This window comes from Homo sapiens, chromosome 1 (assembly GCF_000001405.40).
Source record: "Homo sapiens chromosome 1, GRCh38.p14 Primary Assembly".
NCBI lineage: Eukaryota > Metazoa > Chordata > Mammalia > Primates > Hominidae > Homo > Homo sapiens.
This window is the reverse complement of record NC_000001.11, coordinates 44,781,148-44,808,368: the sequence shown is the minus strand read 5'-3', so window position 1 is coordinate 44,808,368 and position 27,221 is coordinate 44,781,148. Positions and strand designations below refer to the sequence as shown.

General features: G+C 51.8%; 3 protein-coding genes across 17 annotated transcripts, besides 18 other annotated features; 2 read left to right on the top strand and 1 right to left on the bottom strand.

Annotated features, from left to right (window-relative positions):
- Window positions 56-1,255: an enhancer, noted in NCBI's record as "P300/CBP strongly-dependent group 1 enhancer chr1:45272786-45273985 (GRCh37/hg19 assembly coordinates)". NCBI's record gives its function as "activates an origin of replication core promoter dependent on BRD2, BRD4, P300/CBP, MED14 and CDK7 cofactors, with strong dependence on P300/CBP, by STARR-seq in HCT116 cells {active_cell/tissue: HCT116}" and the evidence as "EXISTENCE:reporter gene assay evidence [ECO:0000049][PMID:35650434]".
- Window positions 56-1,698: a biological region, named in NCBI's record as "P300/CBP strongly-dependent group 1 enhancer GRCh37_chr1:45272786-45273985".
- Window positions 332-581: an enhancer, noted in NCBI's record as "active region_950". NCBI's record gives its function as "activates an Ori minimal core promoter by ATAC-STARR-seq in GM12878 lymphoblastoid cells {active_cell/tissue: GM12878}" and the evidence as "EXISTENCE:reporter gene assay evidence [ECO:0000049][PMID:35858748]".
- Window positions 849-1,698: an enhancer, noted in NCBI's record as "H3K27ac-H3K4me1 hESC enhancer chr1:45272343-45273192 (GRCh37/hg19 assembly coordinates)". NCBI's record gives its function as "activates a minimal SCP1, AML or CMV promoter by ChIP-STARR-seq in naive H9 embryonic stem cells {active_cell/tissue: H9 hESC(naive)}" and the evidence as "EXISTENCE:reporter gene assay evidence [ECO:0000049][PMID:30033119]".
- DYNLT4 (dynein light chain Tctex-type 4) lies at window positions 1,018-2,476 on the top strand. Of its 7 annotated transcripts, none has more exons than NM_001377536.1 (3): window positions 1,018-1,044; window positions 1,531-1,585; window positions 1,694-2,476. In NM_001377536.1, exon 3 carries the CDS (start codon window positions 1,701-1,703, stop codon window positions 2,364-2,366), a length of 666 nt encoding a protein of 221 aa, NP_001364465.1. In that variant the 5' UTR covers window positions 1,018-1,044; window positions 1,531-1,585; window positions 1,694-1,700; the 3' UTR covers window positions 2,367-2,476. The 7 variants fall into 7 exon arrangements, with proteins under 7 accessions (NP_001364465.1, NP_001364463.1, NP_001364464.1 ...); NM_001377534.1 differs by having other exon boundaries at window positions 1,690-2,476; NM_001377535.1 differs by having other exon boundaries at window positions 1,018-1,128; window positions 1,690-2,476.
- Window positions 1,699-2,549: an enhancer, noted in NCBI's record as "H3K27ac-H3K4me1 hESC enhancer chr1:45271492-45272342 (GRCh37/hg19 assembly coordinates)". NCBI's record gives its function as "activates a minimal SCP1, AML or CMV promoter by ChIP-STARR-seq in naive and primed H9 embryonic stem cells {active_cell/tissue: H9 hESC(naive and primed)}" and the evidence as "EXISTENCE:reporter gene assay evidence [ECO:0000049][PMID:30033119]".
- PLK3 (polo like kinase 3) lies at window positions 2,379-7,992 on the bottom strand. Of its 3 annotated transcripts, NM_004073.4 has the most exons (15): window positions 7,696-7,992; window positions 7,422-7,529; window positions 7,217-7,333; window positions 6,618-6,747; window positions 6,437-6,524; window positions 5,514-5,609; window positions 5,216-5,414; window positions 4,978-5,101; window positions 4,678-4,769; window positions 4,345-4,438; window positions 4,123-4,206; window positions 3,868-4,030; window positions 3,590-3,719; window positions 2,990-3,103; window positions 2,379-2,882 (listed from the first exon to the last, which is right to left on the bottom strand). In NM_004073.4, the coding sequence occupies exons 1-15, from the start codon at window positions 7,903-7,905 to the stop codon at window positions 2,691-2,693; spliced, it is 1,941 nt and encodes a 646-aa protein (NP_004064.2). In that variant the 5' UTR covers window positions 7,906-7,992; the 3' UTR covers window positions 2,379-2,690. The 3 variants fall into 3 exon arrangements, with proteins under 3 accessions (NP_004064.2, XP_047300411.1, XP_047300419.1); XM_047444455.1 differs by lacking the exons at window positions 2,379-2,882; window positions 3,590-3,719; XM_047444463.1 differs by lacking the exons at window positions 2,379-2,882; window positions 2,990-3,103; window positions 3,590-3,719; ... (1 more) ...; window positions 4,123-4,206; window positions 4,978-5,101 and having other exon boundaries at window positions 4,346-4,438.
- Window positions 7,316-7,365: an enhancer, noted in NCBI's record as "active region_949". NCBI's record gives its function as "activates an Ori minimal core promoter by ATAC-STARR-seq in GM12878 lymphoblastoid cells {active_cell/tissue: GM12878}" and the evidence as "EXISTENCE:reporter gene assay evidence [ECO:0000049][PMID:35858748]".
- Window positions 7,756-8,035: a silencer, noted in NCBI's record as "silent region_820". NCBI's record gives its function as "represses an Ori minimal core promoter by ATAC-STARR-seq in GM12878 lymphoblastoid cells {active_cell/tissue: GM12878}" and the evidence as "EXISTENCE:reporter gene assay evidence [ECO:0000049][PMID:35858748]".
- Window positions 8,136-8,525: an enhancer, noted in NCBI's record as "active region_948". NCBI's record gives its function as "activates an Ori minimal core promoter by ATAC-STARR-seq in GM12878 lymphoblastoid cells {active_cell/tissue: GM12878}" and the evidence as "EXISTENCE:reporter gene assay evidence [ECO:0000049][PMID:35858748]".
- Window positions 8,136-8,988: a biological region, named in NCBI's record as "H3K27ac-H3K4me1 hESC enhancer GRCh37_chr1:45265053-45265721".
- Window positions 8,320-8,988: an enhancer, noted in NCBI's record as "H3K27ac-H3K4me1 hESC enhancer chr1:45265053-45265721 (GRCh37/hg19 assembly coordinates)". NCBI's record gives its function as "activates a minimal SCP1, AML or CMV promoter by ChIP-STARR-seq in naive and primed H9 embryonic stem cells {active_cell/tissue: H9 hESC(naive and primed)}" and the evidence as "EXISTENCE:reporter gene assay evidence [ECO:0000049][PMID:30033119]".
- Window positions 8,576-8,635: an enhancer, noted in NCBI's record as "active region_947". NCBI's record gives its function as "activates an Ori minimal core promoter by ATAC-STARR-seq in GM12878 lymphoblastoid cells {active_cell/tissue: GM12878}" and the evidence as "EXISTENCE:reporter gene assay evidence [ECO:0000049][PMID:35858748]".
- Window positions 14,625-15,314: an enhancer, noted in NCBI's record as "H3K27ac-H3K4me1 hESC enhancer chr1:45258727-45259416 (GRCh37/hg19 assembly coordinates)". NCBI's record gives its function as "activates a minimal SCP1, AML or CMV promoter by ChIP-STARR-seq in primed H9 embryonic stem cells {active_cell/tissue: H9 hESC(primed)}" and the evidence as "EXISTENCE:reporter gene assay evidence [ECO:0000049][PMID:30033119]".
- Window positions 15,541-26,529, top strand: BEST4 (bestrophin 4). 7 transcript variants are annotated; one of them, XM_024446367.1, is made up of 11 exons: window positions 15,541-15,686; window positions 18,475-18,592; window positions 20,652-20,815; window positions 20,903-20,997; window positions 21,673-21,906; window positions 22,141-22,295; window positions 22,693-22,770; window positions 23,064-23,261; window positions 23,384-23,464; window positions 23,586-23,740; window positions 23,886-24,784. In XM_024446367.1, exons 3-11 carry the CDS (start codon window positions 20,664-20,666, stop codon window positions 24,157-24,159), a joined length of 1,422 nt encoding a protein of 473 aa, XP_024302135.1. In that variant the 5' UTR covers window positions 15,541-15,686; window positions 18,475-18,592; window positions 20,652-20,663; the 3' UTR covers window positions 24,160-24,784. The 7 variants fall into 7 exon arrangements, 6 of the variants coding, with proteins under 6 accessions (XP_024302135.1, XP_016856512.1, XP_047273779.1 ...); XR_007058647.1 differs by lacking the exons at window positions 15,541-15,686; window positions 18,475-18,592 and adding an exon at window positions 26,140-26,224 and having other exon boundaries at window positions 20,199-20,815; window positions 23,886-24,699; XM_017001023.2 differs by lacking the exons at window positions 15,541-15,686; window positions 18,475-18,592 and adding an exon at window positions 26,140-26,529 and having other exon boundaries at window positions 20,199-20,815; window positions 23,886-24,160.
- Window positions 16,007-16,698: an enhancer, noted in NCBI's record as "H3K4me1 hESC enhancer chr1:45257343-45258034 (GRCh37/hg19 assembly coordinates)". NCBI's record gives its function as "activates a minimal SCP1, AML or CMV promoter by ChIP-STARR-seq in naive H9 embryonic stem cells {active_cell/tissue: H9 hESC(naive)}" and the evidence as "EXISTENCE:reporter gene assay evidence [ECO:0000049][PMID:30033119]".
- Window positions 20,971-21,656: an enhancer, noted in NCBI's record as "H3K27ac-H3K4me1 hESC enhancer chr1:45252385-45253070 (GRCh37/hg19 assembly coordinates)". NCBI's record gives its function as "activates a minimal SCP1, AML or CMV promoter by ChIP-STARR-seq in primed H9 embryonic stem cells {active_cell/tissue: H9 hESC(primed)}" and the evidence as "EXISTENCE:reporter gene assay evidence [ECO:0000049][PMID:30033119]".
- Window positions 21,657-22,342: an enhancer, noted in NCBI's record as "H3K27ac-H3K4me1 hESC enhancer chr1:45251699-45252384 (GRCh37/hg19 assembly coordinates)". NCBI's record gives its function as "activates a minimal SCP1, AML or CMV promoter by ChIP-STARR-seq in primed H9 embryonic stem cells {active_cell/tissue: H9 hESC(primed)}" and the evidence as "EXISTENCE:reporter gene assay evidence [ECO:0000049][PMID:30033119]".
- Window positions 21,658-21,747: an enhancer, noted in NCBI's record as "active region_946". NCBI's record gives its function as "activates an Ori minimal core promoter by ATAC-STARR-seq in GM12878 lymphoblastoid cells {active_cell/tissue: GM12878}" and the evidence as "EXISTENCE:reporter gene assay evidence [ECO:0000049][PMID:35858748]".
- Window positions 21,868-21,997: a silencer, noted in NCBI's record as "silent region_819". NCBI's record gives its function as "represses an Ori minimal core promoter by ATAC-STARR-seq in GM12878 lymphoblastoid cells {active_cell/tissue: GM12878}" and the evidence as "EXISTENCE:reporter gene assay evidence [ECO:0000049][PMID:35858748]".
- Window positions 23,847-24,196: a silencer, noted in NCBI's record as "silent region_818". NCBI's record gives its function as "represses an Ori minimal core promoter by ATAC-STARR-seq in GM12878 lymphoblastoid cells {active_cell/tissue: GM12878}" and the evidence as "EXISTENCE:reporter gene assay evidence [ECO:0000049][PMID:35858748]".
- Window positions 26,530-27,221: the final 692 nt, after the last annotated feature.

Below are 27,221 nucleotides of genomic sequence, written 5' to 3'. Positions count from 1 at the left end.
TAGCCCCCGAAGCTGAGCCTGCCCTAGGTTCAGAGTTCAAACTCCTTGCCCTCCTAACCCTTCCCTCCTCCACAGGCACACAGGGTCAGGATCCGGTTAGCCAGGCCGGGGAAACCCCCACTCAACAGGGAAAATCCTCGCCCCCATAGATGGGTCAGGGCCCCGACCTGGCTTGTTTGGGAGGGGACAGTCCCATCCCTGCCAGAGGAGGAGTCACATGAGTTGTCAGCCCTGGCAGAGGTGTCACAGCCTCTGCCATCTCTGAAATGTAACTTTGGGGAAACCTAGGTACTAGAGGTGTAGCCAGCTAGGGACAAGCCCCAGGACACTTGGGTCAGCAAAGGTCACGAGGCTGGACTCGGGGTTCACTGCCGAGTCACTGCCACTTTATAAGGCCTGGTGCCTACCAGCTGAGCCAGTGGGCCTCCCCTCCCCCGCACATAGCCCTGAACTGAGGAAGTCATCCAAGCCCCACCCTAACTCTGCGCCGGGAGCGGAAATGTTTGTCCTTGTCGAGGCCGATGGGGAGACAACAGAGCCATGACGTGTTCCTTCCTGTGGGCCCAGACTCTGGATTCCTGAGCCACCACCCCCGCAGCCTCAAGATCTCCCCCTAACCTAGGCCTCTGTGACTTGTTCACGAATGGCCAGTCATCTGGCCATTCCACAAGGGGAGAAAATGGGCCCTGGCTCAAGAGTCCTGGGGTAGGACAAAGCCTTTCTGACCACAGCCTTGCTCTACATCTGCCCCTCTGTTGCCTGCGCTTAGGAAGTTTGCCTCTAAGCTGCAAGACCCTGTCGGCCGCTCTCCCTGATGACTCAGGGGCACCCCATGCTCAGCACATGCTCACAGCAACAATGCTCTCAGGTTAAGCCAGAGCCAGACTGGAGGGAGGGATCCTGGGAGGGAGGAGTGTTTGCTCTAGCAACCCATGGCAACTCCACAACACAGGTCTTTCCCCTCCCACTTGCCCTTCAGGCCAGCGGGGCCAGGGCTGTGCAGCCAGGACAGAACTCAGAAGCCAAAGCCTGCGGGTGACTCAGGTGCCTGAGGGAGTTTCGGGAGCAGAGGGCAGCCATCTCAGAACTGATTCTGGAGGAAGTGGGATCAGAGGCCAAAGGCAGAAGGTGGAAGGGGGCTTCATGAGTCATCTGCCCTCAGCCTGGGCCAGGTGTAGGGGAGATCTTTGTGCCAGCCACCCTAGAGTAGATCTGGGTGGAAGATGACTGGATTCAACACCCCCAGGGCTGGAAGGATCTGTGGGGTTGAAGGAGCTGAGTCTGTCAGTCCTTCCTGGTTAGGGGTTGGAGGCTCTGCCTCCACAGTCCAGGCTGAGGCAGAGGCCTGCCTCTCCTTCCAGAGAAGTCGGGTGGAAGGGAGAAATGGCAGTCTCTAAGACTCCGAGCGTACCTGGCTAACTTCCATAGTGCCCAGAGAAGGAGCTCAGTCGGCAAGGACTAGCCGAGGATCCCAGTCCTAGCAGCCTCCTGTCCCCTGCTCATGTGTCTAACAGCCTTTAACCTTCTCAGCACCTAGGAACCCAGGCAGCCTGGGACTATCTGATCCACTTGTTCTAAAACACAGGTAAGAAGGGGGTAGAAGGTAAAAACCCTTGACATCACTGAGCAAGAGGCTGGGGTGGGTAGACAGATGCCTGGTGAAGGCCACCCTGAGTGTGGTTCCTCCAGCCAGCAGGTCCATGGCCAGCAGGCCTCTGCCCCCGGGACGCCAGGAGGAGGAGAATGCCAAAGACTCCGGGCGGAAACCCTCACCGGTGCGGCCCCGAGGCTGCCTGCCCAGCATTGATGAGGCCCGACCGGCAGGTCCAGGTCCAGCCCCGGCCTCGCGCCGGGGCTCCATGCTGGGCCTGGCCGCGTCCTTCTCCCGCCGCAACTCGCTGGTCGGGCCAGGCGCGGGTCCTGGGGGTCAGCGGCCATCCCTGGGCCCGGTGCCCCCTCTGGGCTCAAGGGTCAGCTTCTCAGGGTTGCCCCTGGCGCCCGCCCGTTGGGTGGCGCCCTCCTACCGCACGGAGCCAGTGCCCGGGGAGCGCTGGGAGGCTGCGCGTGCACAGCGTGCCCTGGAGGCGGCGCTGGCCGCAGGGCTGCACGACGCGTGCTACTCCAGCGACGAGGCCGCGCGGCTGGTGCGGGAGCTCTGCGAGCAGGTGCACGTTCGCCTGCGCGAGCTCAGCCCGCCACGCTACAAGCTGGTATGCAGTGTGGTGCTGGGGCCGCGCGCGGGCCAGGGCGTTCACGTGGTCAGCCGTGCGCTCTGGGACGTGGCGCGCGATGGGCTGGCCTCGGTCTCCTACACCAACACCTCGCTCTTCGCGGTGGCCACGGTCCACGGGCTCTACTGCGAGTGAGGGGGAGTCCAATTCTGCAAAATTGTTTATTATCCTAGGAGGAGGCCCCCCTGGGGCTCACATCCCAATAAATAAGTGTCTGACAATAAATAAAAGTGGTCCATAAATAACGCCCCCTAGCTGGGAGCTAAGGCTCAGGCTTATCTTGGAGATGGGGTAGGAGCCAGCGAAGACAAGCCGCCCCCAACTCCAGTAAAGCTGGTCCCTGATTCCCTGGGGGATTCGGCCCAAAGCCCCCAGTGAGGCACCAAAGGAAGGGGGAAGGCCACAAAGGCAAGGGCCAGAGCCTGACAGGCACAGGCCTCAGGCCTCAGGGCTTGGGTCCTAGGCTGGGCTGCGGTCCCGGAGCAGGCGCAGAGCATAGCGGAGTCGCTGCCGCAGGTCTGGAGAGCAGCCCAGCTGCCGAAGGTGGGAAGCGAGGTAAGTACAAGCACTACGATTTCGGGCCACAAAAGTCACAAGGAGGGGCTCCCAGCCACTGAGAATCAGCTTGGTGTGGTCCCCGTAGAAGTTCACCTGCACACAGAGCATGACAGTGGTCAGGACCTAGGCTCCGGGCCCAGCTTCCTCCCCAGCACCCTGGGCCTCCCAGACCTTCCCGCAACTCCTGGATAGGCTCTTACCTGGACAGTGCCATCACTAAACAGCATGAGGAGAGCCTGATCCGTCTTGACCCACTGCAGCAGCAAGGGCGGAGCAGGTACCTCTACCTCTTCCACACTGGGCAGATCTCCACCCTGGGAGCAGGATCAGGGCAGGTCACTGATCCAGCGTGAGACAGCCCCCTCCCCATTAGTGTATGCCTTATCCTCTAGCTTTCAGCAACCCCAACCACCACCAAGGGGGAATCAGAGGGATCAGGATGGGTTAGTTTTCTTTTCTTTATTTTTTTTTTTTGAGATGGAGTCTCGCTCTGTTGCCCAGGCTGGAGTGCAATGGTGCGCCATCTCTGCTCACTGCAAGCTCCGCCTCCTGGGTTCGCCCATTCTCCTGCCTCAGCCTCCCGAGTAGCTGGGACTACAGGCGCCCGCCACCACGCCCGGCTAATTTGTTGTATTTTTAGTAGAGACGGGGTTTCACCTTGTTAGCCAGGATGGTCTCGATCTCCTGACCTCATAATCCACCCGCCTCGGCCTCCCAAAGTGCTGGGATTACAGGCGTGAGCCACCGCACCCGGCCAGGATGGGTTAGGTTTCAATGTACCACAGCCCCAGCCCTCACACCTTCATGAGGTGCTGCTCCATGTAGGAGGCGAAGTACCGCAGGATACCCAGCTGAGGCTGCAGGGCCCGGGGCACAGCACCCACGGAGAAGGAGAAGTGCTTTGTGCTGGTGGGATTGTAGTGCACAGTCCTAGAATGGGGAGGCAGAGGTCAGAGGGAGCCCTGCACCAATGCCCCTCCTCTGAGAAACCCAGACCCCTGAGCCCAGGAGCACTCACGAGGGTGCGGCCCTGCTGGATTAGTGGCCTGAATACAAGGCACCCCATAACAGCACTTACTTTCTGTTGGCCGACAGGGCCATATGTGTGCCATCGTTGAAGAGCACAGCCACACGGCGGCTGGACAGTTGATACCCAAAGCCGAACTTATTGGAGTAGTCAACCCACTTGCTGACCCACACCAGAGGCTCTGGCTGGGCCAGGGGGGCCGGGTTCTGTTCCGCTGTCATGGGAGAGGAGGGAGTCAGCACCTGCTCCTGGCCTCCCAGCCACAGAACTCCCACCACAGCAGCATGTACCAGACCCCACCCTTACCTGGGGGCATGAAGGCTATACAATTTCTCAGAGCACAAAGGGCTGACTCCACTACTGTGGCCACAGTCAGACCTTCTTCAAATCCTGAAGGAGACAGGGCACTGAGATTTAGGAATTAGCACCCCAGGACCCAGGCCAGGCCCCTCTGCCCACTCCTTCCCTCTCGCCCCTGATCTCAGCTCCAGCAACCTCTATCACCTCTCATCCTCCCTGGCTCCTCACCATCTCCACTGCTTGCCAGTGTCCCACGGGGTGAGCTGTCTTCAGGTGCTGTCTCTACCAGGCTGACAGGGGCTGGGCCAGAAGCTGCTGGAGCCTGGAGGGTTGGGCAGGGAAAGGGAGTGACACAGGCCCCAAAATCCAAACCCTTGAGTCCATGGCCTGGCCCTGCCCTGGCTCCCAGGGCACCCCAGGTCAGCCCCGCCAGGCTGGTGACACACAGCCAATTAGGCCACCACGAGGCTGGATGCTTCAGCAGCCTCTTTTATCCCCGGCTTCCCTCAGCTGCTAGGGTGGGGGTGAGTCAGGGGAACAGTGTCCACCTGAGCGCCTCACCTCTGGCCTGGCATCCTGATGGCCAACGGATGTGCGCATGAGGCCGCTCACCAAACCGGAGACCTCATCCCTCTCCTGGGCATGATTCTTACCTGGGGGTGAAAGGTGATACCGTCCTCAGTATCCTGCCCAGCCCCTCCACTTCCGACAGGGATGACACAGAGATTGGCCTCCCCAAGTGCCTGTACTGCACATGCTCTCCCCAGGAGTTTCCAGGCACCCACACTCACACACCCAAGACAAATGTGACAAGCCGCTCTACTGCTCTGCCCCCTCAACCCACTGACACCCCAGACTCACTCTTCTTCTTTCTGCCAAAGAGGCTCTTGGTAACTTTGGCAAACAGACTCCTAGCTGGGTTGGGGGGTGTCAGGTCTGGGACTGTCACGCAGCTGCTGATAGGGAGTCGATCGGGGGTGTAGCCCTAGGGAGGGGAACCATGTGAACAGAGAAGAGAGGCTCCAGGGGTCCTGTCACCTGCCCCCTTTCAATCCCTGGGAATACACAGATGGACTTAGAGGTCTGGGGAGCCACAGACCTTGGTAAAGAAGTCATGGCGCAGGATCTGGTCAATAGAGGGGCGGTCTCGGGGTGAGGCCCGAAGGATGGCGGCCAGGAGCTGCCGGGCAGGCAGTGAGAGGCTGGCAGGCAGCGTGTAGTGAACCTGCTTGATGCAGCGGTACGTCTCCTTCAGGTCAGCCGTCTCAAAGGGAGGGCTCCCGCAGAGCAGCGTGTACCTATAGGGCAGGGCCAAGGGGTCAGGAGTAAAGTGGAGGAGATGCTCCACCCACACACCCACCACCTGTCTGCTGCTGAACCTGGACCCTGCAACTCACATGACACAGCCCAGTGACCATACATCCGCCTCAGGGCCGTGGCCCTGTCTCAGCAGCACTTCTGGAGCCACATAGTTGGGGGTGCCACAGATGGTCCTGAAAGAGGGTGGGGAGGAGGAGAGAAGGCTGAGACCCAGCCCAGCAGCCCCCCGACTCCTTCCCCCACTGTTAGTCCAGACAAAGCAGCTGCCTGTCACCAAAGGCCAGAGAACTCCTGCTTGTCCTGGGACAATGGATGCCAGGGATGGCAGCTGAGTCCCCGCCCACCCGCCTGGCCCAGCTGCTCAGCTGCTCTTCATGACAGGGGGAGGGCCTGACCCCCAGCCCAGTCCTCTCCTCTAGGGTCAACACAGAGAGTCCACAGCTGATCCCTTCCCCCTTCCTGCACTCCTGTCTGTCAGACAGGCATCAGGCTGTCACCTCCCACGGTTTGTGCCACACACACACCAACACCAGCTGTCACAACCCCCATAAACACTCATCTGCCACATACGCTATCTGTGTCACACACACAAAGTATGATGGCCACAGCAGGGTCTTCTTACACCCACAATGTCATATCCCACCATTTCCACACTCTCAGTCTGTCTCTCACACACACATACACGCTGCCTGTCACCTTCCCCCATCCACACAAAGGGTAAGTCATGTGCCTCCAAGAATCTGTATACCCCCATCTGTCTCAGGGACTCAGAGTCACCTACCCTATCTGTGTCATACACCTATAGGATCCTCCCCCTCTCCACCGGTCTCGGTAACACAGGCTGCCACCTCCACCTTCACACATGCATGAACAGCCCATCATCCCTTCCCATTTATCTCATGCACACATCAGGCAGTCACCTTGCCTCCCACATACATATGCACTGTCTATCACGCATGTCATCTGTATCACACACAGGGCCCCTTTCCTCAAAACTCACTTCTTCCTCTGCTCCGGAGGCTCCAACCGGGCTGCCAGCCCAAAATCCCCCACCTTCAGTTCCATGTTCTCAGTGATGAAAAAATTTCCTAGATGGGGCAAGAGAGGTGTGTCAGATTCTTTCCTTCCTCCCTCCCTCCCTCCCTCCCCAACCTCCCATCCTCCAGGCTCAGGAGTCTCACCCAACTTGAGGTCCCGGTGCAAGATGCCGCGCTGGTGCAAGTACTTGAGGCCAGAAAGGATCTGCCGCAGGTAGTAGCGCACTTCTGGCTCCAACAGGGTGTGCCGGGCCTTCCAGATGTGGGCCAGGGACTGCAGAGAGCCACTGCCTCAGCCCCTGGTGAGCCCTCCCTCCCCCTCCCCCTCCATCTGTGCTCCCTGAGGAAGAAACAGGGCCCCAGCTTTGGGTCTTAAGACTGTCTTCTCGGCTGGGTGTAGTGGCTCACGCCTGTAATCCCAGCACTTTGGGAGGCCAAGGCAGGTGTATCACAAGGTCAGGAGTTTGAGACCAGCCTGACCAACAGGGTGAAACCCTGTCTCTACTAAAAATACAAAAATTAGCCGGGCGTGGTGGTGCATGCCTGTAATCCCAGCTACTCAGGAGGCTGAGGCAGGAGAATTGCTTGAACCCGGGAGGCAGAGATTGCAGTGAGCCGAGATCGCGCCACTGCACTCCAGCCTGGGCAACAGAGCAAGACTCCATCTCAAAAAAAAAAAAAAAAAAAAAAAAGACTGTCTTCTCTCCCTCACTCTCATCCCTGCGGGAATCACCATCTTTCACCTTTCGGCTGCAGAGCTCCAAGAAAATGTAGATGTTGTCAGCGTCCTCAAAGTGGTGCGAAAAACGCACGATGTGGCGGTGCTGCAGGTCTCGGTGCAGCTCAATCTCATTTAGGATCTGCGATGAGGGCGCGGAGTCGTCATCCTTCCATGGTTCCCATGCCACCGTCCCCACCCCACCCCTCGCCCGCTGAGCCTGGACCCACCTTCTCGCGCTGATGCGGCTTGGCGACGCGGCTCTGCGGGATGACTTTGACAGCGTAGGCGCTGCCAGTCTCTGTGTCAGTGGCCTCGTAGCAGCGGGCGAAGCCCCCCTGTGAAGAGGGGGCATCAGGCTGGTTGTTCCAGGGGGGCCGAGTCTGGCCCGCGGGCGTCCCCGCGTTGGGGGTCAAGTGCCCACGCCCTGCTCGGCGCCAGAAAAGAGGCCGGCCGGGACCCCCACCTCCACCATCACCACCCCGCGGACGTCCCTCGGCCCACCTTGCCCAACAAGCGGCCTTTGAGGTAGGTGCGGCCGCTGCGCGGGTCCGTGATGAGGCGCCCGGGGTCTGACGTCGGTAGCCCGGCCAGCATCTCCAGCTCAGGTCCGCGCAAGGCACTCGGAGGCGGCCCGGGCCCGGCCGGGGGAGCGGGCGCGGCGGCCGCACGCTGGAAGGGGCGCGGAGACAGGAAACCGGCGGCAGGCTCCATGCGGCCGGCGCGTCGCAGCGCGGTCCCGGCTTCTCGGTTCCGCCCGGCCCCGGCCGCGCGTGGCGCTGCCTGGATTTGCTACGCTGCGCTGGCGCCCAGGGGAGCCCAGCGTTTTATCAATGAACGCCTGCCCCCTCCCCGGCGTCTGGTCACCGAGAGTCCCGCCCCCTTCCTAGCAGCGAGTCGAGGAGAGGCCACTCCCATTCCCGGCCTTACATCACCCAGAAGCTCCTCCCCCACCCAACGCACTGCCAGACCCCGCCTCCTCGCCGCGCCCCGGGGCGCAGCCCGGCAGCTAGTCACCATGCAGGTGCAACCAGGCCGCAGGGGCCAGCTGATCCCTGTCCGCCTCTCACCCCTCCTTGGCCACTGCGAGTCCCGCTCGTGGGGGCCTCTTTCTTTCCCCATCCTTCGGGATGTGTGCTGAAGTCCGAGTGGGGCCCGGGCATCTGGGGGCGTCTCCCCAGCAACTAGATAGATCAGCGTTCCAGCCAGCAGCGGAGAGGCAGGGGCGGCGCTCGCTTTTGCCCGGGCATGTTACCCGACACTCCCCTTTCAGTGTGCCGGACCGCGTGTGTCCCTCGCCCTCGCCCGGGGCCCGGCCCAGTGCTGCCCTCTTTAGGGCCTGGAAGGAAGGCACAGTCTCGCGCCTGGCTTGCCTGGCCCGAGGGCTGCCTTGCCAGGTTTAGGAGTCAAGCAGAGTCTGGAATTTCAAGGCTTTTACCATGCTCCAGGCCACATCTTCCGCTACCCACTTCTACACTCTTGAGGGGCAAATTTCGGGTTCCTCCGGGGTCCGCAATTCCCTTCCTCTGAAAATACCCCCGGGCCTGGGTCAGCAGCCAGAGGCCAGAAAGTGAATGGGAATTGGATTTTCTTTTTTCTTTCTTTCTTTCTTTTTTTTTTTTTTGAGACAGAGTTTCGCTCTTGTTGCCTAGGCTGGAGTGCAATGGCGCGATCTTGGCTCATCGCAAACTCTGCCTCCCAGGTTCAAGCGATTCTCCTGCCTCAGCCTCCCGAGCAGCTGGGATTACAGGCATGCGCCATCACACCCGGCTAATTTTGTATTTTTTTTTTTTTAAGTAGAGACGGGGTTTCTCCATGTTGGTCAGACTGGTCTGGAACTCCCAACCTCAGGTGATCTACCCGCTTCGGCGTCCCAAAGTGCTGGGATTACAGGCGTGAGCCACCTTGCCTGGCTGGGAATTGCATTTTCTCAAATGCTAGACACGGGCACTTGGGCAGCTAGTCTCTGGACCACGTGGACCCCTAGACCCCTGCGCAATGCCCACCCTTCCCAGGGCCAGAGACAGAGGCCCAGGACCACAGGCCTCCTGGCCTTGTCTCTCACCTCTCTGCCCTCCCTCTGTGCCAGCCAATCAATTACCATGCCATTCCTCAAAGATTTATTGAGAGCATCTGCTAAGTGCTGGACACTATCTCGAATAAAACTAATCAAGCTTGCAGCCCTCATTTAGTTTACATTCTGCTTGATGGAAACAGACAATAGGCAAGCAGATAAACAAGGTAATTGCAGGCTGTGAAAAGTGCTATGAAGGAAGAATAAACAGAAGAGCAAATGAAGAGCCTACTTTAGAAAGAGTAGCCAGGAAAGTCAACAAATATTTGCTGAGTACCCAATTTGTGCCAATTTTACCTCCCAAATAGCTCTGATATCTATCCCCTTGGCTCCATCTTCCCCTCACACCCTGGCCTGGGCCACAGTCTCTCTTGTCAGGATGATTGCCACAGCTCCTTGCTGCTCTCCTGGCCTTTGGTCTCATGCCCATTTCATCCCCTCCATATGCTATTAGAGGGATCCCACCCAATCCCTCATCAGACTCACGAGGGCAAACTTCTCCAACCTTGTCCTTCATGACCACTGAAGGGAGACCCACGATAGCCTCAGATGTGGAGAAATACTAGTAGCCAAAATTACTGAGGGGGAGTTGGGGATAGGGATGGGCAGGAAGACCCTAAGTGCCTGCTCAAGAGTCTGGTCTTTATCCTTATAGGTCAGCAGTCTTCCAGAGGGGAGATGGTGGTGGGGCTAGAAAGGACAAATCCCCAGGGTAAATGGATCTGAGGCATTTAGAGAGTCAAAAAGGCATATTCAATTTTGCACCGTTATTTATTTTGTTTTGTTTTGTTTTGTTTGTTTTTTGAGACAGAGTCTTGCTCTGTTACCCAGGCTGGAGTGCAGTGATGCGATCCTGGCTCACTGCAACCTCTGCCTCCCCGGTTCAAGCGATTCTCCTGCCTTAGCCTCCAGAGTAGCCAGGATTACAGGCTCGTGCCACCACGCCCAGCTAATTTTTGTATTTTTTAGTAGAGACAGGGTTTCACCATATTGGCCAGGCTGGTCTCAAACTCCTGACCTTGTGATCCACCCACCTCGGCCCTCCCAAAGTGCTGGGATTACAGGCATAAGCCACTGTGCCTGGCCCAAAATTCGTGTATATATATATATATATATATATTTTTTTTTTTTTTCTTTTTTTTTGAGACAGAGTCTTAAAAAAAAAAGAATCACTTGATCCCAGGAGGGGGAGGTTGCAGTGAGCTGAGATCGTGGCACTGCATTCCAATCTGGCAACAGAAGGAGACTCCATCTAAAAAATAATAATAATAATAAAATAAATAAATTTTGGGGCCGTGCAGTGGTGGCTCATGACTGTAATCCCTGCACTTTGGGAGGCTGAGACAGGCAGATCGCTTGAGTCCAGGAGTTTGAGACCAGCCTGGGAAGCATAGTGAAACCCCCGTCTCTACCAAAAAAATGCAAAAATTGGGCCAGCCGCAGTGGCTCATGCCTGTAATCCCAGCACTTTGGGAGGCCGAGGCAGGCAGATCACCTGAGGCCAGGAGTTCGAAACCAGCCTGACCAATGTGGTGAAACCCCGTCTCTACTAATAATACAAATATTAGTCTGGCGTGGTGGCACCCACCTGTAATCCCAGCTACTCAGGAGGCTGAGGCAGGAGAATCGCTTGAACCTGGGAGGTGGAGGTTGTAGTGAGCCAATATCGCCCCATTGCACTCCAGCCTGGGTGACAGAGTGAGACTCTATCTCAAAAAAAAAAAAAAAAAAGTTAGCTAGGTGGGCATGGTGGCAGGCGCCTGTAATCCCAGCTACTCTGGAGGCTGAGGCAGGAGAATCGCTTGAACCCAGGAAGCAGAGGTTGCAATAAACCAAAATCACGCCACTGCACTCCAGCCTGAGTATGACAGAGTGAGACTCCATCTGAAAAAAAAAATACAAAATTTATCAGGGCGTGGTGGCTCACGCCTGTAGTCCCAGCTACTCAGGAGGCTGAGGCATGAGAATCACTTGAACCCAGGAGGTGGAGGTTGCACTGAGCTGAGATCACACCACTGCACTCCAGCCTGGGTGACAGAGAGAGATTCTGTCTCCAAAACAAAACAAAACAAAAATTAGCTGGGTGTGGTGGTGCATGCCTGTAATCCCAGCTACTTGGGAGGCTGAGGTGGGAGAATCACTTGAGCCCTGGAGGTCTAGGCTACAGTGAGTCATGATCATGCTGCTGCACTCCAGCCTGGGAGACACAGAGCTTGTCTCAAAAATATATATAGGGCCGGGCGTGGTGACTCATGCCTGTAATCCCAGCACTGGGAGGCCGAGGCCGGCAGATCACCTGAGGTCAGGAATTCGAGACCAACCTGGCCAACATGGTGAAACTCCATCTCTACTAAAATACAAAAATTAGCCGGGCATGATGGCAGGTGCCTGTAATCCCAGCTACTTGGGAGGCTGAGACAGAATTGCTTGGACCCGAGAGACAGTGGTTGCAGTGAGCCGAGCTCGTGCCACTGCACTCCAGCGTGGGTGGCTGAGCGAGACCCCATCTCAAAAAAATATACATATATTTATATGTATATATTTTTAATATATATTTATATATTTTTATATTATATTTATATATCTTTATATATTTATATATTATATTTATATATCTTTATATATTTATATATCTTTATATATTTATATATCTTTATATATTTATATATCTTTATATATTTATATATTTATATATCTTTATATCTTTATATATCTTTATATATGTTTATTTATATATATTTATATATGTTTATATATTTATATTTATATATTTATATATATTTATATATTTATATTTATATATTTATATATATTTATATATATTTATATATTTTTATATATTTATATATTTATATATATTTATACATTTATATATTTATATATATTTATATATATATTTATATATTTATATATATTTTTTATATTTATATTTATATATTTATATATATATTTATATTTATATATTGTTATATATTTTTATATATATTTATATTTATATATTGTTATATATTTTTATATATTTATATATTGTTATATATTTATATATTTATATATTGTTATATATTTTTATATATATTTATACATTTATATATTTATATATATTTATATATTTATATATATTTTTTATATTTATATTTATATATTTATATATATTTATATTTATATATTGTTATATATTTTTATATATATTTATATTTATATATTGTTATATATTTTTATATATATTTATATATTGTTATATATTTTTATATATTTATATATTTATATATTTATATATATTTATATATATATTTATATATATTTATATATTTATATATATTTATATATATTTATATATATTTATATATATTTATATATTTATATATATTTATATATATTTATATATTTATATTTATATATTTATATATTTATATATATTTATATATATTTATATATTTATATATTTATATATATTTATATATATTTATATATTTATATATATTTATATATATTTATATATTTATATATATTTATATATTTATATATATTTTTATATATTTTTATATATTTATATTTATATATATTTATATATTTATATATATTTTTTATATATTTATATATTCATATATATTCATAAATACTTATATTTATTTATTTATATATGTATATATGTATATATTTATATATTTATATATATTTATATATTTATATATATTTTTTATATATTTATATATTCATATATATTCATAAATACTTATATTTATTTATATATTTATATATTTATATATATTTATATATTTATATATTTATATATATTTTTATATATTTATATATTTATATATATTTTTATATATTTATATATATTTATATATATTTATATATATTTATATATTTATATATATTTTTATATATTTATATATATTTATATATATTTATGTATATATTTATATATTTGTATATTTTTATATATTTATATATTTATATATTTTTATATATTTATATATATTTATATATATTTTTATGTTTTTATATATTTATATATATTTATATATATTTATATATTTTTATATATTTATATATATTTATATATATTTATATATTTATATATATTTATATATTTATATATATTTATATATTTATATATATTTATATATTTATATATATTTATATATATTTATATATGAATTTTGGAAGGGGGCACAGTTCTGCCCATAATGGCCTCTTAATTATATCACCAAGTCTAGCAAGATCTAACACACTGTGTTTTTTTGTTTTTTTGTTTTTGACAGAAGGTTTCACTCTGTGGCCCAGGCTGGAGTGCAGTGGCATAATCATGGCTCCCTGAAGCCTCGACCTCCCTGGCTCAGGCAATCCCCCCAACTCAGCCTCCCAAGTAGCTGGGACTACAGCTGGTGCATACCACCACACCCAGCTTTTTTTTTTTTTTTTTTTTTTGAGACAGAGTCTCGCTCTGTCACCCAGGCTGGAGTGTAGTGATGCAGTGACAGGATGGCAGATCACTGCAACCTCCGCCTCCCAGGTTCAAGGGATTCTCCTGCCTCAGCCTCCCGAGTAGCTGGGATTACAGGCACGCACCACCATACCCAGCTAATTTTTTTTTTTTTTTGAGACGGAGTCTCACTCTTTCGCCCAGGCTGGAGTGCAGTGGTGCCATCTCGGCTCACTGCAAGCTCCGCCTCCCAGGTTCACGCCATTCTCCTGCCTCAGCCTCCTGAGTAGCTGGGACTACAAGCGCCCACCACCGCGCCCGGCTAATTTTTTGTATTTTTAGTTGAGACGGGGTTTCACTGTGGTCTCGATCTCCTGACCTCATGATCCACCCGCCTCGGCCTCCCAAAGTGCTGGGATTACAGGCGTCAGCCACCGCGCCCGGCCTTTTTTTTTTTTTTTTTTTTTTTAAGGCAGAGTCTGGCACTGTTGCCCAGGCTGGAGTGCAGTGACACAATCTCAGCTCACTGCAACCTCCGCCTCCCGGGTTCAAGAGATTCTTGTGCCTCAGCCTCCTGAGTAGCTGGGGTTACAGGCCCCCGCCACCACGCCTGGCTAATTTTTGTATTTTTAGTAGAGATGGGTTTCACCATGTTGGTCAGGCTGGTCTTAAACTACTGACCTCAAGGGATCCGCCTGCCTCGGCTTCCCAATGTGCTGGGATTACAGGCATGAGCCACTGAGCCAGGCCAGTTGTTCATTTTTTCAACAAACGTTTTCTTGAGCAGCCTCTATGTGTCAGGTCCTGTGCTGCACCCTGGCGTGACCTGTCGGTAGGACAAGGACACTGGACTGTAATTAGTGCTAAGTGGTGAAGACAGACAGGGTATAGAGGTGGCCTATGGGAGCCCAGAGGTGGGATCACACCCAGTTTGGGGAATGTACGTAGGCTGAGATTTCTAAGTTGAAACCTGAGAGCTGAGGAGGAGTTAGCCAGGAACAGTAATGGACAGGAGGAGAAAGTATTCCATAAGAGGAACCCTGTGCTCCTTAAGGCATGGAGTGAGAGCTGTTGGTCCTTGAAAAAGCTGAAAGTTCAGAGTAGCTGGAGGAAAGGGGAAGGGTGACTGGAACAGTCCAGGGGCCAGAACTCCAAAGGCTTTGCAATGTGTGTGGAGGAGTGAAGGTCTACTTGCCCCTTCCCCAATTTGCCAAGTTCCCAAGCTGACCTAAGTTTTGAATTTGGTGAGTTCAGGTGAAGTCTGACAATATAGCCAGGGAGTGGGTCTGGAAAGTTAGTGGGAAGGAGGGGCCAGGACAGGCTCCTTGCAAGAGAAAGCTGATTTGCCCTCCTGGCCTGGTTCCCTAGAGCCTCCTCCGCAAAGCTGAGGAGCTCCTGCCAAGCACGTAGGTGCTGAGCCTAAGACTGGGTTCCCTTCTCTTCCCAGGCTGGGATTTAAGGTTGAGCTCAGGCTGTCTGATCCATGGCCATGTTACCTCTCTAATCTCTGCCACACAGGACCCTAGCCAGGGGCCACTACTCAGGCACAAAATGAAATCCCATCTGGCCTTTCTTGCTGTTGTCTTGTGGCTTCCTCAACTGGCTGGGTGGGCCCACACCCAGGCTGGGGCTGTGAGCTTATTATCTTGTCTTCCTCTTCTGTCTTTTGTTGTTGTTTGTTTGTTTGTTTGTTTGTTTGTTTAGATGGCGTCTTGCTCTGTCACCCAGGCTGGAGTGCAGGTGGTGCAATCACAGCTCACTACAGCCTCGACTTCCTGGCTCAAGCGATCCTCCAACCTCAGCCTCCAAGTAGCTGGGACTAGAGGCATGCGCCACCACACCCGGCTAGTTTTTTGTATTTTTTGTAGAGATGGGGTTTTGCCATGTTGTCCAGGCTGGTCTCGAATTCCTGGACACCGTGCTTGGGCCAGAATCTCTTGAGTGTCAGGTCACAGAGGCCAACGGAGGAGGGTCAAGAACAAGAGATGCCAGGTAAGGTTAGGACTTGGGAAGGGCTATTGGCTTCAGCAATAAGGAGATGGCAGGTGTCCTTGGTGGGTGCAGAGGTGGAAGGGATAAAGCCAACCTGAAATAAGAGATGTGCTGATAGCCACGGTAGCACTTCCCACTCACCTGGTGCTATTGTGAGCACTTTATACTATTAACTCACCTAATATGCGCAACGACTCCATGTGATAGGCATTATCATCCCCGTGTTCCCATGGGGAATTTTTTTTTTTTTTTTTTTGAGATGGAGTCTTGCTCTGTTGCCCAGGCTGGAGTGCAATGGCATGATTGGGGCTCACTGTAACCTCCACCTCCCAGGTTCAAGCGATTCTCCCACCTCAACCTTCTGAGTAGCTGGGATTACTGGCTCCTGCCACCAAGCCCGGCTAATTTTTGTATTTTTAGTAGTGACAGGATTTTGCCATGTTGGTCAGGCTGGTCTCGAACTCCTGACCTCAAGTGCAATGGCATGATCTCGGCTCACCGCAATCTCCACCTCCCAGGTTCAAGCGATTCTTCTGTCTCAGCCTCCGGAGTAGCTGGGATTACAGGCATGTGCCACCATGCTCAGCTAATTTTGTATTTTTAGTAGAGATGGGGTTTCTCCATGTTTGTCAGGCTGATCTCGAACTCCCGACCTCAGGTGATCCGCCTGCCTCGGCCTCCCAAAGTGCTGGGATTACAGGCGTGAGCTACCGCACCCGGCCTCTCATGGGGAATTTAAAAGGTTCAATGGCTTTCCCAAAGTCACAAAGCTTGGTGACTTTGGTGACCATGGTGAAGCATGGACTTGGGAACCTGGGCAGTGTGGCTCCGGAATCCATTTCACTGCCAAGCCATATAACCACTTCTCAGCTGTGAGGAGGGGACAGGGGAATGGGTGGGCAGGACCAATAGGGAGGGAGAGGAGAGCTGGAGGATAAGGAAAGGTGGGGCAGGTGATTTATGGGCTGAGTGGTTCCCTCTCCTGCACCATAAACAAAGGGACTGGTCAACAGCTGAGAAGGAGATAAGGTGATTCAGGAGGTAGGGACTGGGTGGGCCTGGGGACCGCCCTCTTCCTCTGGCAGAGGCTTCAGGTCACGTACTTTTATCCCGGGCTCTGTGGGAAATTCACAGACCACAGGGCTGGGAACAAGCAGAGGTGTGAGGGCCACAGGTGCGGGTGGCGGTGCAGGATTGAAATGCAGCCAGCTGGTCTTCCTGGGGTAGAGCTGTCAGGGAGACACGGCCTGAGCTCCTGCACTCCCAGGACCTGGCTTTCCAAGTCCTAGAACATCTTTAAGTGGTAAGCAGCCCAGATGCTCTAGGAAAGCCACAGATCAGAGCATGAGAATGAACTGCCTGGCCATGATGCCTGAGGCCCAGGAGCTGGCATCTCACCCTCCCCAGGTCAGGTCCTGGACACACACAGACACACACACACACACACACATACTCTCTCTCTCTCTCTCTCTCTCTCTGAGTCCTGTTCTTTCCTCATATTGACATCTCCCATGGAGAATGTAACGCCAGTCAGGCCATGAGTAGTTTTCCAGATCTTGGCTCATCTGGGAAATCTCACAAAATAGCAGGGGTGGGGTGGGGGACCAGATGTCTTTCATCTTAAAAGGGAAGAGAGAAATGGAGAACAAAAGAGGGGGTGGAGGGAGGCAAGAAGGAGGGAAGGATGAGAAGAAAGAAAGAAAAAGAAGCTTGCTTGGTTTCAAGTCCTCCCCAGCTTTTTCTTTTTCTTTTTTTGTTTTTGTTTTTGTTTTGAGACAGGGTCTCACTCTGTCACCCAAGCTGGAGTGCAATGGCTGTATCATGGCTCACTGCAGCCTCAAACTCCTGGGCTCAAGTGATCCTCCCACCTCAGCCTCCCAAGTACCTGGACTATAGGCACACACCACCACACCCAGCTAATTTAAAAAAATTTTTTGTAGAGACAGGTCTCACTATGTCGCCCAGGCTGGTCTCAAACTCCTGGGCTTAAGTGATCCTCCCACCTCAGCCTCCCAAAGTGTCAGGATTACAGGCATGAGCCACTGTAATCTAGCTTTACCTAGATGAATCAGATTCAAAACTGTTCTCAGGTGTCTCACAGGCTAGAGGGGAGATCTCCCTGTAAACAGATCATAGACCACTGTGATTAACTGCTGCAAGAGAGAAAACCCAGAGGGTTTTGAGGAGTAACCTGGGGAAGATCATGGAAGGCTTCCTAGAGGGTGCTCTGAGCCACATCTTGAAGGAACAGTTACAAATGAGCTAGGCATATACACCTACTATGCACTCACAAAAATTAAAATTAAAAAAAAATTTTATATGAGCTAGGCAGAGACTGGTGATGAGGGTAGAGGTGGGTAAGTCTCAGAGGGCCTTGTGTATTCAGCTTAAAAGCCAGGATCCAGCACTGTTTGGTCTGGGGCAGGTTAGCAGGACATGAAGAAAAGGTCTCTGCCTCCTCATTTCTCAGGGACTGTCTGGCTTGGAAGGCTTGGTAGGCAAGACTGGACCAGTCGTGGGAAACCAAAGAGAACAGATTCAAATTTTCATAGTAACAGCAGCCCAAGCCAACCACCCACAGTGCTTTAGGCCATAGGCATTGTTTCTGTGAATACTCAAAATTGCCCCATGAGGTTAGGCGTTCTTGATTCTGATTTGCAGAGGAGGAAACTGAGGTTCAGAGAGATTAGGTAACTTGCACAGTTACAAAGAGCTGGGGTTCAGACCCAGGTTTGTCCAATTCCCAAGCCTGTGCTCCTAATCACCTCTCTATGCTTCCTATCTTTAGGAAACTTGCAGAAGAGAACCAGCTCACAGTGTAGGGGGAGGAGCTTCCCAAAACAAGACAGAGGCAGGACCACCACTCTTGGGATTTTTCAGTGTTCACTTACCTCAGCACTGGGAGGGTAAGTAAGCTGCCAATTCTCTTCCACTTTGAGGTTCTATTTCTTTTCTTTTCTTTTTTCTTTTTCTTTTTCTTTTTTGAGACAAAGTTTTGCTCTTGTTGTCCAGGCTGGAGTGCAATGGCATGATCTCGGCTCACCGCAATCTCCACCTCCCAGGTTCAAGCGATTCTTCTGTCTCAGCCTCCGGAGTAGCTGGGATTACAGGCATGTGCCACCATGCTCAGCTAATTTTGTATTTTTAGTAGAGATGGGGTTTCTCCATGTTGGTCAGGCTGATCTCGAACTCCCGACCTCAGGTGATCCGCCTGCCTCGGCCTCCCAAAGTGCTGGGATTACAGGCGTGAGTCACAGTGCCTGGCCTTTTTTTTTTTTTTTTTTTTTGAGACAGAGTCTCTGTCACCCAAGCTGAAGTGCAGTGGCACAATCTCAGCTCACTGCAACCTCTCCCTCCCGGGTTCAAGCGATTCTCCCATTGAGATTCTATTTCTTTTTCTTTTTCTTTTTCTTTCTTTCTTTTCTTTTTTTTTTTTTTTTGATTACCCAGGCTAGAGTGCAGTGGCACGATCTCAACTCGTTGCAACCTGCGCCTCCCCAGGTTCAAGCAATTCTCCTGCCTCAGCCTCCCATGTACCTGCTGGGATTACAAGTTCGTGCCACCACACCCGGCTAATTTTTGTATTTTTAGTAGAGACAGGGTTTCACCATGTTGGGCCAGGCTAGTCTCGAACTCCTGACCTCAAGTGATCCACCTGCGTTGAGGCTGCCCAAAGTGCTAGGATTACAGGTGTGAGCCACCTTGCCTGGCAGCGGAAGTTCTATTTCTATCAGCGCCTTAGGTATTACTTCCTCCAGAGGTGAAAGTGGCCACTCAAATCTTGGGCACCCCTAGGAGTCAGGATGTTGGACACAGGGCTTAACGGAGCCTGCACTCCTAGGCCTGAGCTTCCAGATCTGTGGCTGTCAGCCCCGTGGCATGGATGGAGAAGAGCCTGGCCAAGCCCCCAAGCCCCTGTACAAGAAGACTGGGAGTGTGGCCAGTGCACAGGATGGGTCCTGGAGCTCATGCCTTTGCTAGGCCACTTCCAGCCTTGGAAGTCCATCAGCCCTGGCTTTGAATCCTGCCTCCAACATGTTCTAGCTGTATGGCCGACGGCGGGCAAGTCATTTACCTCTTGGAGCCTCATCTGTGAAATGTGGATGATTGATTCCCTACCTCATGGTGCTGTGATGAGGATTTCTTGAGAGGATGACCTAGTAGTGCCCTTGGCATGGTTCCTGTCACTTAGTCAGTGCTCTGTGATCAGCAGCTGGTATTATTATAACAGTTTATCATGCATCTGTCTTCCCACCTGAAACGTGGGACAATAACCCCTGTCATACTGGCTTGAAGGACATGGTGTCGTCTGTGTGAGCTGTGGGGTCAGTATAGCTGGCATTTCTGCCACTCGAAGGCCAGCCCAACCCTACAGGGGTAAGGAGACACACCCAGTTCCCAGCACCAGGGGAAGCTGGATGACAGCTTCAATCCATCAATGATAGGCCTCAGTCCAGCCTAACTTTATGGACTGCAGAGGTACTTAAGTCTGTGGGGGTTGAAGTCTAGCCCAGTTCATCTTCCACACGGGCTGCTGCCCAGAGCAGGTAGGCAGGTATGGGATGGGGGTGAGAGTGCCCTGGGCCCTGGTAGTTCTAGTTAATCAGCTTCCAAAGCAAGGCCCCAAGGAATAGCAGTGGATTTGGGCTGGAGCTGCGTCTCTTGTCCGCAGCAGTTCAGGATCTGGTTATCCCTAGCCCTGCAGGCTGAAGAGGAGCTTGAGGAAACCTCATGCATGAAGGGACACAGATCTCAGTTCTACCTTGTCCAACTCTAGCCTGGCTTTGCCCATGTACTGCTCAGTTCTGCAGGGGGTGGGGTGTACTTTTCTGCTCTGCAGGCTCCTACCCCCTTGTCCACTGACGCAGGGTGAAGGCTGGGGTGTGTGAGACCAGAGTGGAAGGGAGGTTGTCTGGAGAACTAAACGACAGCCCTGGGGGCAACTCTTGTGACCTCCTGCCCCAGGCTCCCAGCACCATGACGGTTTCATACACTCTCAAAGTGGCGGAGGCCCGCTTCGGAGGTTTCTCTGGCCTGCTTCTCCGCTGGAGGGGAAGCATCTACAAGCTCCTCTACAAGGAATTCCTCCTCTTTGGGGCCTTGTACGCTGTGCTTAGCATCACCTACCGGTAAGGGCAGGGTCTTAGAGCTGGCGCAAGTGGGGAGACTGGGCCACCCACCTCCCTCTAACCCAAGCCTACACCTGCCTTCCCCAGGCTGCTGCTGACCCAGGAGCAGAGGTACGTGTATGCTCAGGTGGCCCGGTACTGCAACCGCTCAGCAGACCTCATTCCCTTGTCCTTTGTATTGGGTAAGGCTCCCTTCTAGTTTTCCCTGTGTCCCCCTTACTGTGTTCCCTGACCTCTGGGTTGGGTTGACAGCTCCGAGGGTCAGAATTACCCAACAGATGGTGTGGTGACACACCTGCAGTCTCAGCTACTCGAGAGGCTGAGGTGAGAGGATCGCTTGAGCCCAGGAGTTCCAGTCCAGCCTGGGCAATGTAGCGAGACTCTGCTAAAAAAAAAAAAAAAAAAAAAAAGAATTACTCAACACGGTGGCAGAGCCTTCCTGGTCAGCCAGAGCAGGCCCAGCAGGCACAGGAGCTGGGTGCTGGGTCCAGGACTTCCAGAGGGCAGGGCCCTATCACTTGCCGGACCCTCACTTCCAGCAAGGCACAAGACACCTGCTGGCCTCACAAGCCCACCCTGGGCACTGCAGGGGAGCTGGACAGAGGTGACAACCCCTTCCCCACCCTCCTGGGAAGCAGTCTCCTGGCTTTGAATCCCCACTTTCCCTCTGCTGAAGGAAGTTTGCCCTCCTCCCTCCTCCTGGCCTCGCACAGCAGGGCACTGGAGCTGAATGTTTCCTTCCCCCTGCCACGATTCAACTGGCCTGGACCAGGCCCTTTGCTGGGGGAGGTGAGGCGCTCCGACCCCCAGGCTCTCCACTCTCCCTTCCTACTCCCTCTATCACGGCGGCCAAGCAGGTTTCTATGTGACTCTCGTGGTGAACCGCTGGTGGTCCCAGTACACAAGCATCCCGCTGCCAGACCAGCTGATGTGCGTCATCTCGGCTAGCGTGCACGGCGTGGACCAGCGGGGCCGCCTGCTGCGCCGCACCCTCATCCGCTACGCGAACCTGGCGTCCGTGCTGGTGCTGCGCTCGGTCAGCACCCGCGTGCTTAAGCGCTTCCCCACCATGGAGCACGTGGTGGACGCAGGTGCGCCGCCCGCCGGGAGCCTCTGGGGGTCCGGCCCACAGCCGGATGCAGGTGGCGCCTGGGAGAGTCCTGGGAGCAGGGGCCTCCAGGGAAGGGTCTGGACTGCGACAGGAACGCGGAACCGCGAGTCCTGGGACAGCCGGTGGACGCGAGGGAGGGGAGCCAGACGGCGGAACAGCAGCCTCCCCTGGCGGCAGAGGGTGCAACTGCACCCCACCTGCTTTACCCCCTCAGGTTTCATGTCCCAGGAAGAGAGGAAAAAGTTTGAGAGCCTGAAATCCGACTTCAACAAGTACTGGGTCCCCTGCGTCTGGTTCACCAACCTGGCGGCCCAGGCCCGGAGGGACGGGCGAATACGTGACGATATCGCTCTCTGTCTACTTTTGGAAGTGAGTGGGCTCAGGACCAGACCCATCTGCCCTCCTCCCTCTAATTTTAAAGATGAATAATAATTTTAATACCTAACAGTTGTATGGCATCAGCTGTGTACCCCAGCCTTTTGGAAGCCCTGTACCCATGTTAACTCATTCATCCCTTACAGCAACTCTTGACATAGGTACTATCATCCTCCTTGCACAGATGTGGAAACTGAGGCACAGAGTAGAAAAGAAATTTGCCTAAGTTACACAGCTAGTTAGCAGAGCTGGGATTCAAGCACCCCATCTTAATACACCTCTGAGGGCAGAATGAGAAAGAGCCTCCTGGCCAGGCCCAGGCCTAGTTTGTGCTGGGCACCCCTGTTCCTTCCTCACCTCTGCTGACTTCCTGTTCCTGCTGTTCCCCCAGGAGCTGAACAAGTACCGAGCCAAGTGCAGCATGCTATTCCACTATGACTGGATCAGCATCCCCCTCGTCTACACCCAAGTAACTGCCTCTCCCCTCCCGAGTCCCAGTGCCTACTGTATGTCCTGTGCTGTGTGTGAGATGAGAAGAATTAGCGATGGTACTTGCCTGGCCATTTCAGTCCCCTGAGGCACCGGGTTCATCCTAAAAGCCCCCCACCACCCCCAACAAGGTGACCCTGTCCCCACTGGTACTGCCACACCAGGATACATGTTTGATTACTTGTCAGACTTCCCATAGATCCTCAGAGGCAGGGGCAGCATTTCTCCTTGGCCCGCTGCATCCTGCACTGAGCCTGGCTCTTCATTCTCCAGGTGGTGACCATAGCCGTCTACTCTTTCTTTGCCCTCTCCCTGGTTGGCCGCCAGTTTGTGGAGCCAGAGGCAGGGGCTGCCAAACCTCAGAAGCTTCTGAAGCCAGGCCAGGAGCCAGCCCCAGCCCTGGGAGACCCGGACATGTACGTGCCTCTCACCACTCTGCTGCAGTTCTTCTTCTATGCTGGCTGGCTCAAGGTGGGCACTGCAGATGGGCATGCCAGCCTGCTCTGTGGAGATGTGGGCAGAGGGGCTGCCCCGACTTTGGGGAAAAAGAGTGGGGCTCTGAACCCAGAAAACCCTGTCTCTGCCACCTATAGGTGGCTGAACAGATCATCAACCCATTTGGTGAGGATGATGACGACTTTGAGACAAATCAGCTCATAGACCGCAACTTGCAGGTGAGCAAGCATCAGGATCAGGAGTCCAGGGCAGCTCCTGGGCCCCCTCTCCCGGTCAGCTCTCAGCCCGGCCGTGGGAAGGAGAGGAGAGGAGGATCCTTGTAACTTGCTGGTGGCCCAGGTGTCCCTGCTATCCGTGGACGAAATGTACCAGAACCTTCCCCCCGCTGAGAAGGACCAGTACTGGGATGAGGACCAGCCGCAGCCACCCTACACTGTGGCCACGGCGGCCGAGTCTCTGCGGCCCTCATTCCTGGGCTCCACCTTCAACCTGCGGTGAGTGGCTTGCACTGGGCCTGACCCGGCACGCGGGTCCTCGCTCAGCCTCTGGGGCACCGATGCCTCGGTCCTTCCCCGAGAGCCGATCCCGCGTCCCCGCTCCCGCCCTGTGCCCCGGCTCAGCCCGCCCTCCCGCCCGCAGCATGAGCGACGACCCTGAGCAGAGCCTGCAGGTGGAGGCGTCCCCCGGATCTGGTCGGCCCGCGCCCGCCGCGCAGACCCCGTTGCTCGGCCGCTTCCTGGGCGTAGGGGCGCCCTCCCCGGCCATCAGCCTCCGGAACTTCGGCCGCGTGCGAGGCACCCCCCGCCCCCCGCATCTGCTGCGCTTCCGGGCGGAGGAGGGCGGCGACCCCGAGGCCGCAGCCCGCATCGAGGAGGAATCGGCGGAGTCCGGGGACGAGGCCCTGGAGCCCTGAGGTCTCGCCTGCCCCCGCCCGGTTTCCCCCACCCACTGCCCTCCTTCCCTCCCGTGCCCGGTCCTGCCAGCCAGCTCTATTAGAGCAGCTTTTCCTGTGTGCCTTGAAGGCCAGAGCATTTAGGGACAGAACTTGAAAGAGAAGATGGCGAAAAGGGCCTGAGCCAGGGCTGGGAATGTGTCCACTTTGGTGGGAGAGAAGGTCGGTTGCTTGGGGGACGTGAAGCTAGAAAAATAAATGAGCCCAGGCATAGAGGACTAGAGCCCAGGTGCACGGTTAGCTTCACAGCAACAGGGAGCTAGGCCATTGGTTCTCAAACTTAAGGAAGGATCAGCATCACGGAAGGTCTTGTCAAAAGAGTGCTGGGCACCACTCCCAGCATTTCTGGCACGTTAGATTTGGGATGGCGCCCAATAACTTGCATTTCTAACAAGTTCCCAGGTGATGCTGTGCTGCTTGTCCAGGAAACACAATTTGAGAGTCATGTGAAACGTGCTTGAAGGGGTATACCTTACCCTGGTAACCTTACTCAAAAGAAGGGTCAGTGTGTGCTGGGGGACTTTTGCCTTGTTTGTAATGTTAAAGTTTTTGTTTACATTGAGAATATATTCAAGTTTTTGTTTAAGTGTTGTTTAGTTTTTGTTTATATTGAGAATATATTTATTACTTGTGCAGTTATAATTGTTTAAAATTGAATTGGCATGCATGCAGTAGGATGAAGATGAAGGAAGGGTTTGGGAATCTGTCTTGGAGGCTGATTAAAGTCAGATGTGAAGGCAGCCATCCACCACCCACCCTAGACCTAGCATTTGGACTTGTGTGCCAAGCTCTTCTCCACTGCCACCAACCACACAGGGGGAAAAAGTACAGTTTACGGGTAGAAGCCTAGGCCCATCTCCATGGTGGGCCTGCAGCGCTGGGGGCACTCGGCTGATGTAAGTAAAGAGCCTTCTGTGGCTGGGCACAGTGGCTCACGCCTGTAATCCCAGCACTTTGGGAGGCCAAGGTGGGCAGATCCCCAGAGGCCAGGAGTTAAAGACCAGCCTGGCCAACGTGGTGAAACCGCATCTCTACTAAAAATACAAAAATTAGCTGGGTGTGGTGGTGGATGCCTGTAATCCCAGCTTCTTGGGAGGCTGAGGCACAAGAATTGCTTGAATCTGGGAAGCGGAGGTTGCAGTGAGCCAAGATCACTCTACTGCACTCTAGCTCTCGGTTACAGAGCCAGGCTCTGTCTCCAAAAAAAAAAAAAGTCTTCTGGAAACAGTCTGCCACAGAGCACTACATTGGAATTGTGATAAAACTATGCTCCTATACGATTCTTGCTTTTTAAATCCCAGTCTTCACCTAAAGAAATCAGTGAAGGCCAAAACTGAATATTAAGGCCACAGGATAAATGCCAGAACAGAGGAGGAAGACAGAGGGGGGACACTAGAGTGCAGTGAGTAGACTCCAGCCTCTGGCAGGGTCAGTTGACTGGATTCTAATGCTGGCTTTGCTTCTTTCCATCTGTATGTCCATGGGATAGTGAATATTTCTTATTTATTTATTTATTTATTTATTTATTTATTTATTTATTTGAGACGGAATCTTGCACTGTCACCCAGGCTGGAGTGCAATGGCCTGATCTCGGCTCACTGCAACCTCCACCGCCTGGGTTCAAGCAATTCTCCTGCCTCAGCCTCCCGAGTAGCTGGGATTACAGGTGTCCACCACCACGCCCGGCTAATTTTTTGTATTTTTAGTAGAGACCGGGGTGTCACCACGTTGTCCAGGCTGGTCTTTAACTCCTTACCTCAGGTGATCCACCCGCCTCAGCCTCCCAAAGTGCTGGAATTACAGGCGTAAGCCACCGCGTCTAGCCAATAGTGAATATTTCTAAGCCTCAGTTTCCAAATCTATAATGTGGAGACAGTAGCACCCCACAATGATGGCCATTCATTCACGAGGTATTTGAGGTTTTTTTTTTTTTTTCTGCAGCTTTTACAAGCCTTGTTCCATGGTGAGAACGGTCATCTGTGAAGGTGGTAGAAATGGAGAATGGATGGATTTCAAGACTTTAGAGAAAGAACCCACTGGTTTTATGGACAGATCTTGGCTCACTGCAACCTCCACCTCCCCAGGTTCAAGAGATTCTCATGCCTCAGCCTCTCAAGTAGCTGGGATTACAGGCACATGCCACCACACCCTGCTAATTTTTTGTATGTTTAGTAGAGATGGGGTTTCACCATGTTGGCCAGGCTGGTTTTTGAACTCCTGACCTCAAGTGATCCACCTGCCTCGGCCTCCCAAAGTGCTGGGATTACAGGCGTAAGCCACAATGCCTGGCCAAACTTCAAATTTAATAAAGTCTCAAGACTTTTTTCCCAATTAATCTTGCATATATTTGAGTACCCAGTATATGTCCATACACTTTTCCAGGTGCCAGAGACACAGCAGGAAACAAATATCCTTGTTTCCCTGGAGTACCATTCCAAAGGGAAAAGAGCAAACTTTGTCAGATTAAGGAATAAAGAGAAAAAACAGGCGAAGTGTAAGACAGTTCAGAGGGGCGACTGCAACTTAGAATATTGTGATCCGGCAAGAATTCACTAGGATGGCATAGCAAAGACCTGGAGGGAATGAACCATGTGGGGTTTTTTTTGTAGAAACAGGGTCTCACTTTGTTGCCCAGGTTGGTCTCAATCTCCCAGCCTCAAGCAATCCTCCTGCCTTGGCCTCTGCCTCCCAAAGTGCTGGGATTACAGGCATGAGCCACCATGCCCAGTGTCCAGCCCCAAGTGGATATTTGAAGGAGCGTGCCTAACAAAGGGAATAGCATGTGTACATGTATGTTCAGTAAACTAGGATGGTTGTGTGGTTGATGGAGGGAGTCACTATAGAAGGAGCTAGGTCACATCAAGTCATAATACTTGGTAAGGATTTTCATTGATGAGATAGGAAGCTGTTGCATTAAAAATATAATCTTGGTGGGGTGCAGTACCTCACATGTGTAATCCCAACACTTTGGAAGGCCAAGGCAGGAGCATTGCTTGAGGCCAGGAGCTCAGGATTAGCCTGGG

Coding starts and splice junctions, on each gene's coding strand:
- BEST4 (XM_017001023.2), top strand. CDS start 20,664: ATGACGGTTTCATACACTCTCAAAGTGGCGGAGGCCCGCTTCGGAGGT. Junction 22,296..22,692: donor CTCTCTGTCTACTTTTGGAA/GTGAGTGGGCTC, acceptor CTGTTCCCCCAG/GAGCTGAACAAGTACCGAGC. Junction 23,741..23,885: donor GGCTCCACCTTCAACCTGCG/GTGAGTGGCTTG, acceptor TCCCGCCCGCAG/CATGAGCGACGACCCTGAGC.
- PLK3 (NM_004073.4), bottom strand. CDS start 7,905: ATGGAGCCTGCCGCCGGTTTCCTGTCTCCGCGCCCCTTCCAGCGTGCG. Junction 5,415..5,513: donor TGGTCACTGGGCTGTGTCAT/GTGAGTTGCAGG, acceptor CCTGCCCTATAG/GTACACGCTGCTCTGCGGGA. Junction 4,770..4,977: donor CTTTGGCAGAAAGAAGAAGA/GTGAGTCTGGGG, acceptor TTTCACCCCCAG/GTAAGAATCATGCCCAGGAG.
- DYNLT4 (XM_047419617.1), top strand. CDS start 1,701: ATGGCCAGCAGGCCTCTGCCCCCGGGACGCCAGGAGGAGGAGAATGCC.